This window comes from Homo sapiens, chromosome X, assembly GCF_000001405.40.
Source record: "Homo sapiens chromosome X, GRCh38.p14 Primary Assembly".
In the NCBI taxonomy this organism is placed as follows: Eukaryota; Metazoa; Chordata; class Mammalia; order Primates; family Hominidae; genus Homo; species Homo sapiens.
In genome coordinates, this window is record NC_000023.11 from 135,105,644 (window position 1) to 135,124,289 (window position 18,646).

The 18,646-nt window shown below is 40.4% G+C and overlaps 1 protein-coding gene and 1 long non-coding RNA gene across 3 annotated transcripts; one reads left to right on the forward strand and one right to left on the reverse strand.

The window, feature by feature from the left end:
* Nucleotides 1-13,311: 13,311 nt before the first annotated feature.
* Nucleotides 13,312-14,883, reverse strand: ETDB (embryonic testis differentiation homolog B). 2 transcript variants are annotated; one of them, NM_001355519.1, is made up of 3 exons: nucleotides 14,797-14,883; nucleotides 14,091-14,328; nucleotides 13,312-13,667 (listed from the first exon to the last, which is right to left on the reverse strand). In NM_001355519.1, the coding sequence occupies exon 3, from the start codon at nucleotides 13,616-13,618 to the stop codon at nucleotides 13,439-13,441; it is 180 nt and encodes a 59-aa protein (NP_001342448.1). In that variant the 5' UTR covers nucleotides 13,619-13,667; nucleotides 14,091-14,328; nucleotides 14,797-14,883; the 3' UTR covers nucleotides 13,312-13,438. The 2 variants fall into 2 exon arrangements, with proteins under 2 accessions (NP_001342448.1, XP_024308083.1); XM_024452315.2 differs by lacking the exon at nucleotides 14,797-14,883 and having other exon boundaries at nucleotides 14,072-14,233.
* Nucleotides 14,884-14,977: 94 nt separating this feature from the next.
* Nucleotides 14,978-17,958, forward strand: SMIM10L2B-AS1 (SMIM10L2B antisense RNA 1). Its single transcript, NR_103770.1, has 2 exons — nucleotides 14,978-15,029; nucleotides 17,598-17,958. It is a non-coding gene; the product is annotated as an SMIM10L2B antisense RNA 1 (long non-coding RNA).
* The last annotated feature ends 688 nt before the right edge of the window (nucleotides 17,959-18,646 follow it).

Consider the following 18,646-nt stretch of genomic DNA (forward strand, 5'->3'; position numbering starts at 1 on the left):
TTTCTATCAAGTCATAAAATATTTCCATTGTAAGAGTCTGATTGTTATATTCATGTTGCACTTTAGCTTTTTTAGCATCTTTAAATTTCAGCAGCCATCTTGAAGAGTAATTATCGTCTAAAATCCAGTAATTTGAAAGGGTTGTGACTAAAGGGTTGTGACAGGTCTCTGTTGCCTGTACTTGCAGTGAAGGGGGCTTGTAAGGAGGTGGAAACTGAGGCTCTGAGATAGGTTAGGTGGGAGTCTGTGAACCCAGTGTATTTGCATTCACAATCAGCATTATTATTTATTTATTTTTAAATTTCAACTTTTATTTTATTTTATTTTCTGAGACAGGCTCTTGTGCTGTCACCCAAGCTGGAGTTCAGTCATGCGATCTTGGCTCACTGCAACCTCTGCCTCCCAGGCTCAAGCAATCCTGCCTCAGCCTCTTGAGCAGCTGGGACTACAGGCCATGCCACCATGCCCCGCTAATTAAAATTTTTTTGTGTAGAGATGGGGGTCTCACTATGTTGCCCAGGCTGGTCTCAAACTCCTAGGCTCAAGCAATCTTTCCACCTGAACCTCCCAAAGTGCTGGAATTACAGGCATGAGTCACTGTGCCCAGTCTCAGCTTTTATTTTAGATACACAGGGGTACATTTGCAGGTTTGTTACATGGAAATATTGTGTGATGCTGAGGTTTTGGATATGAATCCTGTCACCCAGCTAGTGAGCATTGTATCCAACAGATCGGTTTTCAACTCACCCTTCTCCCTTCCTCCCTCCTCCCCCTTCTAGTAGTCCACAGTGTCTATTGTTTCCATATTTATATCCATGTGTGCTTAATGTTTAGTTCCCATTTTTGAGCTGGAACATGTGCTATTTGGTTTACTGTTCCTGTGTTCATTCGCTTAGGATTATGACCTCCAGCTCCATCCATGTTTCTGCAAAGTAGTAAGATTTCATTCTTTTTTATGGCTGCATAGTATTCCATGGTGTATTTGTGCCACATTTGTTTTATCCAATCTACCATTGATGGGCACCTGGGTTGATTCAGTATCTTTGCTATTGTGAATAGTGCAACCATGAACACATGAGTGCATGTGTTTTCTTGGTATAATGATTTATTTTCATTTGAGTATATACCAGTAATGGGATTGCTGGGTTGAATGGTAGCTGTTTTAAGTTTTTTGAGAAATCTGCAGACTACTTTCCACAGTGGCTGAATTTATTTACATTCCTATCAACAGGTATAAGCATTCTCTTTGCAGCCTCGCCAGCATCTGTCATTTTTTGACTTTTTAGTAATAGCCATTGTGACTGGTGTGAGATGGTATATCACTGTGGTTTTGATTTCCATTTCTCTGATGATTCGTGATATTGAGCATTTTATAATATTTGTTGGCCACCTGTATGTCTTCTTTTGAGAAGTGTCTGTGCATATCCTTTGCCCATTTTTAATGGAGTTATTTGTTTTTTCTTGTCAATTTAAGTTCACTATAGATTCTAGATATTAGGCCTTTCTTGGATGCATAGTTTGTGAATATGTTATCCCATTATGCATGTTATCTGTGTTTTTTTTTTCTCTATTGACAGTTTCTTTTGCTGTGTAGAAGCTCTTTAGTTTAATTAGGTCTTATTTGTCCGTTTTTGTTTTTGTTGCAATTGCTTTTGGGGACTTAGTCAAAAATTCTTTGCCAAGGCTGATGTTGAGAAGAGTATTTTTTAGGCTGTCTTCCAGGATTTTTAGAGTTTGAGGTCTTACATTTAACTCTTTAATTGATTTTGAGTGAAATTTTATATATAGTGAAAGGTAGGGTTCCAGCTTTAGTCTTCTACATATGACTAGCCAGCTATCCCAGTACCATTTATTGAATAGGGAGCCCTTTCCCTATTGCTGGTTTTTCTCGGCCTTGTCGAAGATCAGATGGTTGTAGATGTGTGGCCTTATTTCCAAATTTTCTATTCTGTTCCATTGCTGTATGTGTCTGTTTTTGTACCAGTACAAAAAGCTGTTTTGATTTCTGTGGGTATATAATATAATTTGAAGTTGGGTAGTATGATGCCTCCAGCTTTGTACTTTTTTCCTAGGATTGCATTGGCTATTCAGGCTCCTTTTTGGCTTCATGTGAATTTTGGAATAGTTTTTTTTTCTAATTCTGTGAAGAATGATGTTGGCAGTTTGATATGAATAGCATTGAACCTGTAAATTGCTTTGGGCAGTATGGCCATTTCTATATTAGTTCTTCCTACCCATTAGCATGGAATTTTTAAAAATTTATTTATGTCATCTCTGATTTCTTTCATCATTGTTTTGTAGTTGTCCTTGCAGAGATCTTTCACCTCCTTGGTTAGCTGTATTCTTAGGTATTTCATTTTCTTTGTAGCTATTGTAAGTGGGTTATGTTCTTGATTTCACTCTCAGCCTGGATATTGCAGGTGTGTAGAAATGCTCCTGAGTTTTGTACAATGATTTTGTATCCTGAAACATTACTAAAGTGATTTATCAGTTCTAGGATCCTTTTGGCACAGTCTTTAGGGGTTTCTAGGTACAGAATCATATAGTCAGTGAAGAGAGATAGTTTGACTTCTTCTTTTGCTATTTGGATGCCTTTTATTTCTTTTTCTTGCCTGATTGCTCTAGCTAAGACTTCCAGTACTATGTTGAAAAGGGGTGGTGGGAGTGGGCATCCTTGTCTTGTTCCAGTTACCAAGGAGAATGGTTTGAGCTTTTGCCCACTCAGTATGAACCTGGCTGTGGGTTTGCCATAGAACCTTATTATTCTGAAGTTTGTTCCTTCAATGCTTAGTATGTTGAAGGTTTTCATCATGAAGGGAAGCTGGATTTTATTGAAAACTTTTTGTACATCTATTGAGATGTTCATATGATTTTCCTTTTCATTCTGTTTATGTGGTGAACCTTGTTGATTGATTTGCATATGTTGAACCAGTCATGCATCTCAGGAATGAAGCCTACCTGATCATGGTGTATTAACTTTTTGATATGCTGCTAGATTTGGTTTGTTAATATTTTGTTGAGGATTATTGCATCTATGCTCATGAGGGATATTGGTCTGAAGTTTTCTTTTTTCATTGTGTCTCTGCCAGATTTTGGTATTAGGCTGATGTTGGCTTAATGGAATGAGTTAGAGAGGAACCCCTCCTCCTTGATTTTTTTTGGAATAGTTTCACTAGGATTGATATTAGTTATTCATTGCACATCTCATAGAATTTGGTTATGAATCCATCTGGTCCAGGGCTTCTTTTGGTTGGTAGATTCTTTATGACTGATTCAATTTCAGAAGTTGATATTGGTCTATTCAGGGTTTCAATCTCTTCGTGATTCATTCTTGGGAGATTGTGTGCTTCTAGGAATTTATCCATTTCCTGTAAATTTTTAGTTTGTATCCAGAGAGTTGTTCATAGTCATCTCTCAGGATCTTTTGTGTTTCTGTGAGATCAGTTGTAATATTGCCTTTGTCATTTCCGATTGTACTTATTTGGATCTTCTCTTTCTTTGTCTTTGTTAATATAGCTGGTGATCTATCAATCTTATTTCGTTTTTCAAATAACCAACTCTTGGTTTCATTGATCTTTTGTATGTATTTTTGCATTTCATTAAGTGCTTCTCTAACTTTAGTTATTTCTTGTCTTCTGCTAGCTTTGGGTTTTTTTTTTTCAAGTTCCTTTAGGTGCAAAGTTAGATTGTTAATTTGAGATTCTTCTAACTTCTAGCATTTAGGGCTATAAAGTTTCCTCTTATTAACACTGGTTTGGTTGCATACCAGAAATTTTTGATGTGTCCCAATTTTCATTAATTTCAAATAATTTTTAAATTTCTTCATTAATTTTGATGTTCACCAGGGATTTATTCAAGAGTAAGTTATTTAATTTACATGTATTTTTGTAGTTTTGAGAGATATTCTTGATATAAATTTATATTTTTATTGCACTGTGGTCCAAGAGTTTGGTTGGTATGGTTTTGATTTTTTGAATTTATTGAGACTTGGTTTTATGACCAAGAATGTGGTCGATCTTAGAATATGTTCCATGTGCAAACGAGAAGAATGTACATTCTGTGGTTGTTGGGTGGAGTGTTCTGTAGATGTTTATTAGGTCCAGTTGATCAAGTGTCAAGGTTACGTCAAGAGTTTTTTTTTTTTTCTGCCTTGATATGTGTCTAACACTATCAGTGGGGTGTTAAGGTTTCCCACTATTGTTGTATGGTTGTCTACATTTTTTCAGAGGCCAAGAAGAACTTGTTTTATGAATCTGGGTGCAGGTATATTTAGGACATATATATATATATACACACACACACACACACACACACATATACACACACACACACAGACACACACACACACACACATATATATATATATATCTCCAACATATATATCCAATGTTGGTGCATGTATATTTAGGATAGTTAAGGCTTCTGGTTTGATTATACTCTTTATCATTATGTGATGACCTTCATTATCCTTAATCTTTAATGGTTTAAAATCTGTTTATCTGACATAAGAGTAGCAACTCCTACCCTTTTTTGTTTTCCATTTGCATGGTTGATCTTACTCCACCTTCTTACTTTGAGCCTGTAGGTGTCATTACATGTGAGATGTGTCTCTTGAAGACAACAGATGGTTGGGTCTTGTCTTTTTATCCAGCCTGCCACTCTGTATCTTTTAAGCCATTTACATACAAGTTTCAAACTGATATGTTGGATTTTGATCCTAACATTGTAATGTTAGCTGGTTGTTATGTAGACTTGATTGCATAATTGCTTTACAGTGCCTGTGGGCTACATGATTTAAGTGTGCTTTTGTGGTAGCAGGTGTTGTTCTTTTGAATCCATATTTAGCACTTTATTAAGGATCTCTTGTAAGATTGGTCTAGGTGTACACTATTCCTTCAGCATTTGCTTGTATGAGAAGGATTTTATTTCTCCTTCATTTGTGAAGCTTAGTTTGGTGGGATATGAAATTCTTGGTTGGAATTTCTTTTCTTTAAGGATGCTGAAAATAGGTCCACAATTTCTTCTATTGTAAGGTTTCTGCTGAGAGGTATGCTGCTAGCCTGATGGGATTCCCTATGTAAGTGACCTGCCCTTCTTTTCTTTTTCTTTCTTTCTTTCTTTTCTTTTCTTTTCTCTTTTCTTTTTTTTTTTTTTTTTGAGACGGAGTCTTGCTCTGTCACAGGCTGGAGTGCAATGGCACGATCTTGGCTCACTGCAACCTCTGCCTCCTGGATTCAAGTGATTCTCTTGCCTTAGCCTCCTGAGTAGCTGGGATTACAGGTGCCCACCACCACACCTGGCTAATTTTTGTATTTTTAGTAGAGACTGGGTTTCACCATGTTGGCCAGGCTGGTCTCTAACTCCTGACCTCAAGTGATCCACCCGCCTCGGCTTCCCAAAGTGCTGGGATTACAGGTGTGAGCCACTGCACCCAGGCCTGCCCCTTCTTTCTAGCTGCCTTTAAGATGTTTTATCTGGCTGAGCACAGTGGCTCTAACCTGTAATCTTAGCACTTTGGGAGGCTGAGATGGGTGGATCACTTGAGCCGAGGGGTTAAAGACCAGCCTGGGCAACATGGTTAAACCCTGCCTCTACAAAAAATGTACAAACTAGCTGGGCATGTTGGGATATGCCTGTCATCCCAGCTACTCTGAAGGCTGAGATGGGAGAATCGAATGATCCTGTTAGGCTGAGGCTGCAATGAGCCATGATTGTGCCACTGCACTTCCAGCTTGGGCAACAGAGCAAGACCGTGTCTCAAAAAAAAAAAATTATTTGCATTGACCTTGGTGAATCCGATGACTATGTGCCTTGAGGATGGTTTTTTTGTATAGTATCTGACTGGGGTTCTCTGTATTTCTTGTATTTGTATATCAACCTCTCTAGCAAGATTAGGGAAATTTTTGTGGACTATATCCTCAAATATATTTTCCAAGTTGCTTATTCTCTCTCCTTCTCTTTCAGAAATGCCAGTGAGTCATACATTTGGTCTCTTTACATAATTCTATATTTCCCAGAGGTTTTGTTCTTTTTTTCTAATTAATTTTCTTTATTTTTGTCTGACTGAGTTGATTTGATGAACCAGCTTTCAAGCTCAGAGAATCTTTCCTCAGCTTGGTCTATTCTGCTGTTAATACTTTTGATTATATTATGAACTTCTTGTCGTGAATTTTTCAGCTCAAGGAGTTCAGTTTGGGTCTTTCTTAGAATGGCTATTTCATCATTCAGCTCTTGGATCATTTTACTAGATTGTTTGGCTTCCTTGGATTGAGTTTCAGTTTTCTCCTGGATCTCGGTGAGCTTCCCTGCCATCCAGATACTGAATTCCATGTATGTTATTTCAGACATTTCAGACCGGTTAAGAACCATTGCTGGGGAGCTAGTAAGTTCCTTTAGAGGTAAGCGGACACTGTGCCTTTTTGAATTGCCAGTGTTCTTGTGCTGATTGATTATTTCTCATCTGGGAAGGCTGGTGTTCCTTCAACTGTGGTGTAAGTTAAATATAGTCATCTGGCTTTATTTCTCGAGGTTCCCAGAGGTCTAAGGCTCTGTACAGAACATTTGTTTTTTGTTGAATTCTTGCCCTTGGTTTCTCAGTAGCGGGACAATCAGTAGTTTTTTGTTGTAGTTTGGGCTGCGATCCAGTAGATGGCACTTGAGAGCAATGGGCAGTAGACAGGCTCTTAGCCACATGACTCTTGTGTATCCTTGCATTTGCAGCTTTATACTGTGGTGCTGGGGGAGAGAGGTGGGTGACCTCCTCACCAAGTCCACTCCTGGGCCTTGGGGGAGCCACCTCTGATTACTAGCACTGTGCTCGTAATTTTGTTGCTGTCGTTGTTAGGTCTTTTGGGCTACAGGTCTCCCTTGGGGGAAGGCCTGGAAGGGAGATAGGCCACATCCTTACCAGACAAGCCCTGTGGAGGGAGGCATCCCTAGGCCCCACACCAGCCAGCAAACCTTTACAACTCACCTCTTTCAGTTTTCTGAGAGTGTGGGCTCCTCCTCTACTCAAGTACTAAGCACAGACCCCAGCTCAGCACTCCTGAGCTGTGGGCTGCAGCCTTGGTGCACCAGGACCTGCTCATAGCTCCCTCCTCCAGATCCTTGGGGTTGGGTTCCAGGTGCACTGGCAGATCCAAAGGACTCCCAGCCTGCCAGAACACACTCAGGTGGAGCAAAGCACCCAGGCCAGGCAGCTGAGGCTGCACTGTGTACACATTTCTGTGGGGTGGCCAGTCAGGGGCCCTGTGAGGGCACTGTGAGGGGCTTGTGGGCAGATAAGTCTGCAGGACAGACATGCCCCAGTCCCATGGGGTAGCAGGCCCTGCATTCTTCCTAGTAGTTAGCTGAGACCAGAGCCTCTCCAAAAGAGGTGAGCAGCCCTTGGGGGTGGATGCTTATGGCCAGGCTCCACTGGAGCTGTCCCATGCTCATAGGTCCCCAGCTTTGCACCCGCTGTAGCTCCCTCTCTGTCTAATCTCCAGAGAGATTCCCCTTCCAGCCCAAACATCCACAGAGGGTGGGGTCCCCTGCAGCTAGGATCCCAGAGTTCTGTGGCGAGAGTGGGCAGTCCCAAAGTCCCTTCACTCACCTTCCCCAGGCACCGTCTGGGGCCGAGAACCAGCCATAGTGTTTGGCACCTGTATTAGTCCATTCTCGCACTGCTATAAAGAACTATCTGAAACTGAGTAATTTATAAAGAAAAGATGTTTAATTGGATCATGGTTCTGTGGGCTGTACAGGCTTCTGCTTCTGGTGAGGCCTCAGGAAACTTACAATCATGGCGAAAGATGAAGGGGAAGCAGGCACATTTTCACATGCCTGGCAGGAGAGAGAGAGCATGAGGGGGGAAGTGCTACACACTTTCAAACAACCAGATTTCTTAAAACCAACCATGCTGGCGCCTTGATCTTGGACTTCTAGCCTCCATAATGCTGTGAAAATAAATTTCTGTTGTTTAAGACACCCATTCTATGGCATATTGTTATGACAGATGGAGTTGACTAAGACAACATGCCTTTCATTCATTCACTTATTCATTTATTTATTCATTCATTTATTCAACAAATATTTATTGAGTATCTGCTATGCACTAGGCACTGTGCTATGTGTTTTGTTGAGGACACTGAGGAACCAAACAAATGTGGTCCCTGCCCTCATGGAGCTGATTATTTAAAAGATACACATGAAAAAGATGATTATTTCAAGTTGTGAAAAGTGCCGTGGAGGAAAAGTACAGAGCACTATAGGAACATATACTAGGAAATTAACTGGAGTCACTTATAAGAGCAGTGAGTTGAAAATAACCTGCACAACCATGTAGTGGAGAATGGTTCAAGAAATATCAATTCATCTACTTGAAGGTTAATTACAAAGCCATTTAAATGTCCTTTTGTAAAGTATGAGAAATTGCTGGTGATTTAATGTTAAGGGAAAAAATGGATAAAAATTTGTGGGCCCAGTATGACTAAAACTATGGGGAGATAGAGGGAGAAAAGAGAGAGAGAGAGAGAGAGGTTAACTCCTCCCTCCTCCAAAATTTAGGCATAAAAGACAAAGAATGGAGGAAGAAATGGTAAGATATAACTACATTTATTAATTCATTAATGGTTTATTTTCTTTTTCTGCTGGTTGGGAACTTCTCTCATCCATTAAATCATAATGAATAATATACTTAATAATATATGTCATCTAAAGCAACTAATGCTATTATAAGTTTGGAGAAATGTTTGTCTAAACATTAGTAAAATATTCATTGGCAGAAGAGCTTTTGTAGCTTTAAGAACACCATTTTACTACACAAACCCTAAATTATCAAGTGATTCACCTACAAGTTATTGCCACAGCCTGAGCCCTGTCAACAGGTCACAAAACCAGGAAGAGGCAGAGTTGAAATGAGATCTCGTGTCTTCTGAGAAATACCCCTTCTGTTTAGAGCCATTCATAACATTATCATAAGTAAGGACAAATAGTGTTTAGAAAGAGGGAAGTGAAATATTCTGATTTGGTCTGACTCACCTTGAAACCAGACTCTTTCGCTAGATCTCCTGGAATTGCCCCCTACCTTACCTTTCTCTCATTCAATTATTCTTCAAATATTATTGAGTACTGACTATCAGACAGGAGTTTTTCTAGGGCTTGTAGGCATGACAGAGAACAACAACAACAATAAAACCCTTGCCCTCAAGTTGCTGATATGAAGGAAACAACCATAGGGAAAAAAGCCAGAGGAAATCCATGTGGAGGGAACAGTTATTGCAAAGGCACTGAGATAGATTCTCCCTAGTGATTGTTGATGAGGTCTTTGCTTCAGCCCTTCTTGGAGATTATACATATATATATATGAAATATATATTATTATATAATATATTATTATATATAATATACAATCTATTACTATATAAGTATTAATATATAATATACAATCTGTTACTATATAATGTATTCATATATAATATACAACCTGTTACTATATAATGTATTCATATATAATATAATATACAACCTATTACTATATAAGGTATTCATATATAATATAATATACAACCTATTACTATATAATGTATTCATATATAATATAATATACAACCTATTACTATATAATGTATTCATATATAATATAATATACAACCTATTACTATATAATGTATTCATATATAATATAATATACAACCTATTACTATATAATGTATTCATATATAATATAATATACAACCTATTACTATATAATGTATTCATATATAATATAATATACAACCTATTACTATATAATGTATTCATATATAATATAATATACAACCTATTACTATATAATGTATTCATATATATTATTATATACAACCTATTACTATATAATGTATTCATATATATTATTATATACAACCTATTACTATATAATGTATTCATATATTTTATTATATACAATCTATTACTATATAATGTATTCATATATATTATTATATACAATCATGTTACTATATAATCTATTAATATATATTATTATATACAATGTCTATTACTATATAATCTATTTATATATTATTATATACAATCATCTATTACTATATAATCTATTAATATATATTATTATATACAATATCTATTACTATATAATCTATTTATATATTATTATATACAATATCTATTACTATATAATCTATTAATATATATTATTATATACAATATCTATTACTATATAATCTATTAATATATATTATTATATACAATATCTATTACTATATAATGTATATCTATTAATATATATTATTATATACAATCTATTACTATATAATCTATTAATATATATTATTATATACAATCATCTATTACTATATAATCTATTAATATATATTATTATATACAATCTATTACTATATTACCATATAATCATCTATTAATATATATTATTATATACAATCTAATCTATTAATATATAATCTATTAATATATATTATTATTATATATAATATATAATAATATGTGTGGGCACTGGCTGCACCCTGCATGGATTTGTTTTCAGCTGTGATAGGGCAGCATTGAGTTCAAGGTAAAGTCCCCCACTTGCTGCACTCTCCCTCCCCAAAGTGCACAGACTCTCCACGCTGGTGGATGGAGGAGGGGTAGCATTGGTGGTTCCAGACTACCTCTCTTGCCCTGTGCAATGCCTCTTTCAGTGATATGAAGTTAAAACCAGGTGATGTGATTGCTCACCTAATTCTTGGTTCTTGTGGCAGTGTTTTTTGTGTGCAGATAGTCGTTAAAATCTGGTGTTCCAGTGAAGGGAGATGGGATGAGTGGTGTAGGTTTCTATTCTGCCATCTTCATCTATCCCCTGCCAAGGTGACTTTCCCTTCACCCAGTCAATGTGAATGTGTAGGAAACTTTCTTGTAACCATTAGAGTTACAACTTAGGTTCCACATGGTATTATAATCAAATTGACCTCATCTGTTATGATAAGATGGCTCACAACACTGTGTATGCTACCATGTGTTGGGCAAGGGTTTTATTCCTCTGATTAAAGCAACAGTGGTGGAACAGTAATGGAAGTAGAAAAAAGTGGTGAATTGATTTGATTCTTCTCAGTTTGTCCAACTAGATATATGCTTCTCTGCAGGGCTGTGTGTTCCAGAAGGCTGATACCATGGAAGACATCACCTTGGCTTCCTGGCTGTCTGGTTAGTGATTTGAGCAATGAGAGGCAGCAGCTAGAAATGAAAGAGTAGAAGAAGAGAGTGTCTCCTGACACTGTGTGCATGGTCTCCAGTCAGCCTCTGATTCCTGTGAGTCAGCTGCATCCAGATTCCCACCCCCTTCCCCGTCCCGAGAAGGTTACATTTGGCCGCCACTAAGATCTCCTGAGAAAAATCTCTTCAGAGGAATTTTGGCCAAATCTTCTCTCCCTCTCCTACAGCCACTTTCCTCCTGAATTTCTTCCTTGTGAGTGTCACTTCTGGAAACAAAAGTCAAGTTCTCTAGGTGAACACTGAGTAGCCCCAACCTTCCAGTGAATTTGAAGTGTAGGAAGTTTTCCTCGTTTAAACTCGGCACAGCCTCCAATCCCTGGGAAGCATGCCTCTCTGGTCTCCAACCCACCCAGACTTCCAGTGTGAGTAGACACCTGTAGGTGAGTGAGTGGTCAGAGGTCACATGATTGTGATTGCCTTCTTTACCAGGCCTCCATTGTTAGGCAACTCCTTGCAAGATGGGAAATAGTTGGTACCAATTGTTTTGGGGCACTAGTCAAGTCGGAAAGTGGACAGAGTTCCACTTGAATGTGCTGCTGCTCTAGTTTGGATAACTTTACTGTCTATGTATATACCCAAGTACTGCTTGGCACAGTTGGGTTTCTCTTTGGTACATAATTCTGTGCTACTTGTTTTCTCACTCAGTATGATGGTGAGATTTATCCACACATAACTCTGTATCCTAAATTCTGTCTCTTCTGTTGTGTGGCCATGGAGTGTAGGAGGTTGGCTGTTATTGGCCTCTGCTCCTGTGGGTTTGGCTCCTTCTTGCCCTACCTGCTGCCCTTTCAGCCTCCATTCCCCACCTATTCTCCACCTCACAGCCACTGTTTGATGCTGGGCTGCAGGTAAATAGTCACCGACATAGCAGTGTCCAGGCAGCGTTCCTCCCAACGGTGCACCCAGGAGGCCCCTCTACCTGGCAGCCTCTAACCCCTCCTCTCCATCCTACAGCCAGCTGCGTCCTCTGAGGAGAGGCTGGTGGCTCTTTTTTGGCGATGCTGCATCAGTGCAGGGACAGAGAAGGTGACAGGGACAAAGAGGACAGTGAAAAGGACATAGAGCAGTTTAACTTCGTACCACATAAAAAATCTGGAAGAGACCTGGCTAAGGGAAGAGAGAGTAACAGCCCCTTAGATGTAGGCGGGGGAGGGGACACAGGAAGGGGCCTTGGGGAATGCTGGACAGGTTGTGAGAACACAGGGAATTGGGGAGGAGGGGAAGAGGGGACAGAGGACTGCTTGCAGGGGCTTATTTTGCAGCTCACGTGAAAGGACAAGAGAAATGCTTGGAATCTGTGATGGCTTTAATGGTTCACCTTATGTAAATTTCATCTTACTCCTCACTTAGGCTTGCCCATGTTTGCCACGGCTCTGACCTCTTTGCTCTCCCTGTCCCCTCTTCAGCTTTAACTCTCACTTGTCAGTGACCAATTGCCCACATAGTTCCCATTTCAGGTTTCTCAGAATGAGTATCTGACTTGCTCAGCACATTCCTTGGGGACAGAGCTTCTTCAATGGGAGCCATCTCATGTGTGTTGTTGTCCTACCAGGTGGCTTCATTTCAGTCAAATGAATTATCTTTGGCTGTGGCCTGAGCAGGTTTGTTTGACATGACACAAAAAAGTGACCAGAGCATTCTATACTTTCCTGGGGACAAAGGGCAGAGCGGTTGCCTCTGGAAGGCTCTGTGGATATGACATTGGCAGTATTAAAACATATCCCAAACCCCCAGGCCAACTGTTGGTCTGCTCTTAAACAATGTCTTTTCACTAGGACAAGCATTGGGTTTTAGAGGGGAACACCAGGGCAGTCTCTTCAAAATGGCTAGGGAGAAGAGTCTTTGGTCCTCAAATGCCAAGTACTACATCACTTTGACTTTGCAGTGTTTTTCAGATTGATGGTGGGAGAGATCTGGTGTGCAGCATGATCTCACCCTCTCCCCTGGGTCTAAGCACCCCTGCACAGCATGTTAGGATGAACAGAAGCCCCTTCCAGTGTAACCCAAGAACACCCTGTCAGCAAACACACATCCAACCTCAAGGAGTGAAATGACAGACTCTGTTTTAATGACTCAAACATGGGAGGAGTTTATTGTTCTAATTATATTTAATTTCTCAAAAATATGGGCAGGCTTCAGCATGTAAGCCACATGACTTTTTGTCCAAGGCCATGTCCACCCTAGAGTTGCTTTATGACAGCATCCACACCCATCTTGACAGGTCGATGTCACTTCTGTGCCTGCCCAGTTGTCTGTTGATTAAAAAGATCAGCACATTTTCGGTGGGCTTCTTGCGTTTGAAGGATTTGTCTGACTTCTTGATGTTCAGTGCGGGCTCCCTGGGACTGCCTTTAGGGACTTCTTTATCCATGATGTGTTGACTCCACCCAACCTCAGTAAAACAGCACAACCGAGGAAGTCTGAAAAAGATGATGTATTCTAGGTAATCAAGTGTACCCGGCAACCTCTTCCTCACTGGCACAAAACCACACACACACACACACACACACACACACACCCATACACACACACACTGCTACCAGCAGTAGTCACAGGAGATTGCTTTGGGTCATCATCTGATTTGAAGCACCAACCATATTGTTTCTTCTATCTGTCTTACACATGGGGCTGTGCAGCAGCCTGATGGGACCCGGGACATTAAAGACACACTATTGCATCCCTCTAATCATTACCTGACACACACAGGCTTGTTAGATTGTACTCAAAACACTACCTCATAGCTCAAATGTCATTGTAATTCTTATATCCACACTAATTTTAACTCAATTCTATGTTGCTCTTTTTCAGAGCTGCCTCTTCTCACCTCTGAGTTTTCCCTGTACCTGGGATATGGGCTTCCTTCTGAACTCCATTATTCATGTTATGCAGAGTAATTCTCTTTGGTAAATCCATCCATGACAAAGTTCAGTACTTTACATTTGCATTTCTTCATTCTACAACTTGCAGGCTGCTATAATTTGTTTCCTCATTCCAAATCTCTTTATGTGACTTTAGCTTCAAATAGGATTTGCCTCCTTTGAAAATCACTGGTGAAGCAGGTATGAATCTTACTCCAAACCCCTGTGTAAGAGATAAACTGGACATTCTCAAGTACTACCGAGTTTCTGTTTCTAAGGTCCATCCTGCTGATTTTCCATCCTGGGAACGTAATCACAGTGGCTTAAAGATTGTACTCACCTCTGATGCCTGGCCCTGCCTCATCCCCAAAAACCCAGTTCTGCATTTCATTTGAATCTAGCACAGTGCCAAGGCTAGGGGTGGATGCTCACTGTGTTCTCTATTTTGACCTCCCAAGAGAGACTAAAAGACTTGCCCAAGTGACAGAGAGGTGAGATTGGAACTGAGAAAGCCTGTATCTGAAGCTTCTGCTTTTACCCACTGCTCTATAGTGTCTCTGTATCAGTTTGAACAAATGACTCTCTGATAACCTCCCCCCATTACCAAACAGGGTTGGGGTTTATCAGGTAGGTTAGTTAGTTAATGGCACAAAAGGATGCTCTATGATCTTGGTATATCAGGATATTTTACCTGTGAGACCACTCAGGTTTCTTCTGAAGAAAGATCTGGGCCAGAGGGTAAACAGTAACAGCTTGGCACTCCCTCTCTTTCCTTGAGTCCCAGGGCCTGATTGGTTCAGCACCAAGTGAAGTCATAGTCACTATGGTGACTCACAATTGTCCTCAGAACCTAGTGCCAACAGTCTGCAAGATTCAAACACTGGCCACCATGCCTGGCTTCCTTCTGGTTCAAGCCTGAATAAGGTGAGTGGAAGTTGCTGGGAGAGGAGGTGGGTATATCCTGTGGCTGGGTGCCATCTGCATGTCTCCTTCCTAGACAGAACCCTCAACTACCCTGGCCTCAGAGCTTGTTCCTGGCTTGTATAAAATCCATTAAAATTTCTCCTTTCTGTAAATAAACAGCACCCATTGCATCTTGCCTTGTCCCCTGGGTAGTGATCAGCAACTTTGTCCGCCATGTTCCAATCCAGGAATTAGTTCCAGGTCAAACTTCCTACCTGCTTCTCAATCTTGCATCCATCTTTGGTCATGACTCTGCAAGTACTCCTCCTATAATACACAATTCATGTAAATGGAGTGTTTAGTTGCAGAAATTGAACACTGCAATTAAACATTGCTGTGTCTCCCACACTTATCTAAACCCTCCCAAAGCTCAGTGCAGTGGAGCCCCTCCCAAAGCTCAATGCAGTGCAGCTTCACACCTTTATTCTGTGGACCTGGGATGCAGGTGGGCTTTTAATGCTTTGGAAAATCTTATGCTAAAACTGGACCAGTTCCTTGAGACATACTCATATGTCTCAAGCCATATTCCCTTCCAAGTCTCTGATCTAGAATAACTACATTGTTGCCATTAAAGTGTGACCCATGTGGGTATTGTCTAGATGCTGGACATGGATTTTCCAGGCTGTCAGAGGGATAACGGTGAGGACAGCGCTTTGTGTTTTTTGTAGTGTGGTTCTCATGAGGAACTAAAATGACTATTATGAGATGTGGCTTGCCTCCACACTGGCTGCCCACTCAGTCTTATGTAAGAACGGAGGAAATTGACGTTACTGTAAAGTGACCCAGGTCGCACACTCCCTTTCTTGAGTGGCAGGGAAGGAAGGCTCACTCCTCCAGGTTTTCTCCTAGCCCCCGTAGAACCATGCTTTACATGGTTCTGAACACCCTGAGGCCGTGTTCAGTGTTCTAAACAATTTGGAGAGGGAAGAGAACATATTGGTGTATTTTATTAACAAAGAAAGTGGAAAACTGTCTTTCTTTTAAGGAATTGACATCCTAGAAATCCAAGTCAATCACCTAGGAAATAGACCAGGAGAGGCTGATTGAGAGAAGTTAAATGCATAAAAACTTTGCATACTAGGTCAGGCACAGTGGCTCTCACCTATAATCCCAGCACTTTGGAAGGCTGAGGGGAGTGGATCGCTTGAGCCCAGGAGTTCAAGACCTCCAGTTGGCCTTGGGTCATATCCAGCATGTTCCAACTGTAAGACAAAAAGCCCCTAAGGCAGAGAGTCATGGTGATTGCCATAAGCAGCCCTGTAGATGCAAGGATGAGATGTAGCTCTGCAGGGCCAGAGTCTAAATACATAAGTCAGTGTCAGAATCTTTTTGGCACTGTCTGTTCCTTAAATAGGTCAATATTCACCGTTTGTGAAAATTTTCATTGAACTGGAGCTACGTTTCCTTTCTATACATAGCATGTTTAAAAAAATTTTTTTTTTAAAGCGACCCAGGTCACACACTCCCTTTCTTGAGTGGCAGGGAAGGAACGCTCAGTCCCGCAGGTTTTCTCCTGGCCACATAGAACCGTGTAAAGACCCTGAGGCCATATTCATTGTCCTAAACAATTTGGAGAGGGAAGATAACTTATCGGTGTATTTTGTTAACAAAGAAAGTGGAAAACTATCTTTCTCTTAAGGAACTGACATCCTAGAAATCCAAGGCAATCACCTAGGAAATAGGTCAGGAGAGGCTGATTGATAGAAGTTAAATGCGTAAAAACTTTGCATACTAGGTGAGGCACAGTGGCTCTCGCCTATAATCCCAGCACTTTGGAAGGCTGAGCGGGGTGGAGCGCTTGAGCCCAGGAGTTCAAGACCAGCCTGGGCAACATAAGGAGACCCCATCTCTACAATAAAAATAAATGAATACATAAATAAATTAAAAATTTGCACAGTCTTCCAATAAATAGGGAATATCATAGATTTAAGCTATCCCATTTACATTGGTTGCAAACGTTATGAAACACCTAGAAAAATAATGAAGGTAAATACAAGGAAAACACACATGCCACTTTTTATGAGCCTTCAGTTTGAATAGTCACATAATATTTTAAAATACTACATTTTTCTTAAGAGGAAGATCAATTTTTTCAATGGCATCAATTCGCCTCTAAATAAATCAGTATATCCAGTACAATCCTAATGATAGTTTATAGCAGAATTTTGAGTGTGTGTGTAACTGGAAGATCGGATGAAATTATATTCCAAAAAAATGTGAAGGATTATGCAAGAGGGGTAGCTTGTCATTCTGGACTCAAAACTTACTCTGTAGTATTGGTGAATGAGACAAGAATTGATAGACATGTCCATGGACCAACGAAGAGATTCTAGAAATATACTCATGCATATGTGAAACTCAAAGAAATTTAAAAATCACAAGTTGCCACAAAGCTGACTTTTATGATTGTGTGTGTGTGTGTGTGTGCACATGCACGCATGTGTGTTAGGGAGGAGAAATGCAGAGAGGCTTCTGGGGCTACTTGATGCTTCTCCTTCAGGTAATTCTAGATTCTATCAACTTTCACAGGTCCCTCTTCTGTGCTGTCTTCCTGAAGCCATCTGTGGAGTCAAGCAGTCATGGCTCAGGGACACTCTGAAGTAGGTCCCAGCACATCTGCGTGGAGCATCAGGAGGAAGGTGGATGAATACTTAAGACCCAGCCTGGCCTCTAAATCGGTGCTGAGCGTTTTACTCAGTAGACAGCTTGGGAATCATAGAAACGATGTGGATCTGACAGAGTGGCTGTGGACACTGAAGCAAGCCATACCAGGGTGGACCTGGCCTTTGCCGACACGCCACACAATCAACCCACCTCTGCCCCCTGGGGAGGATAGAAAATCCAAGAAAATGGTGTGGATCAATAAATCCTTCCCCTGATGCAACCATTACAAGTGGAAGCTGTGTTCTCACTGCTTTTGGCTGGACATGGTCTTTGATCACCTGGTTTCTTGACTTCTGACCCGTCTCTGTGTTACCCGAGGCCACAGCAGATGAACTTTACCTACTGCCCTCCGAGAAGGTGTTTACTAACGTTGTAGAGTCTGGGGATGTTGGAGACACGAGGGGCCCTGCTTAGAGAAGCTGGAAGGGCAGCTGAGTGGAACATGGAGAGGCCCTGCAACCCTAAATTTCTAGGGGGAGGGGACTTTCAGGAGCCCACTTAGAGGTCTTGATTTGTCTCCCTTGAAGTTTGGGGGAGAGCATGGGTAGAAATTGAAATCAAATAAATTTAAAATGAGAGTGGCTTGCAGAGTGGGGAGGGAATTCTCGCAAGAGATATACTTCTTAAATTGAGAAAAAAAGAAAGGCAGCTAAAGAGGTAACCAGAAATGCCCAGGAAATAACGAATGGTCTTTCAAGTGTTGGTGCAAAATAACTTTGAGCCTACAATTCTACTTCTAGCCAGACATTCAAGTTCGAGGATAAATTAGCATACAAGGTGTTCAAGTGTGGGTTCCCTGGAAATAGACCCTGAGGCACACTTGTGAGTGGAAAACACTTACTTGGGAGGGAGTCCCAGATAGCACAGGTAAGGGTGTGGGGAGGTGAGACATACAAGGAATGCAGCCAATTTAA

Bases quoted from the DNA above. Each gene is read 5' to 3' on its own strand.
- ETDB (XM_024452315.2), bottom strand. From the start codon at position 14,160: ATGGATTTACCAAAGAGAATTACTCTGCATAACATGAATAATGGAGTT. The intron at 13,668-14,071 runs GTGAGAAGAGGC...CATCTTTTTCAG, and splicing joins GGTACAGGGAAAACTCAGAG to ACTTCCTCGGTTGTGCTGTT.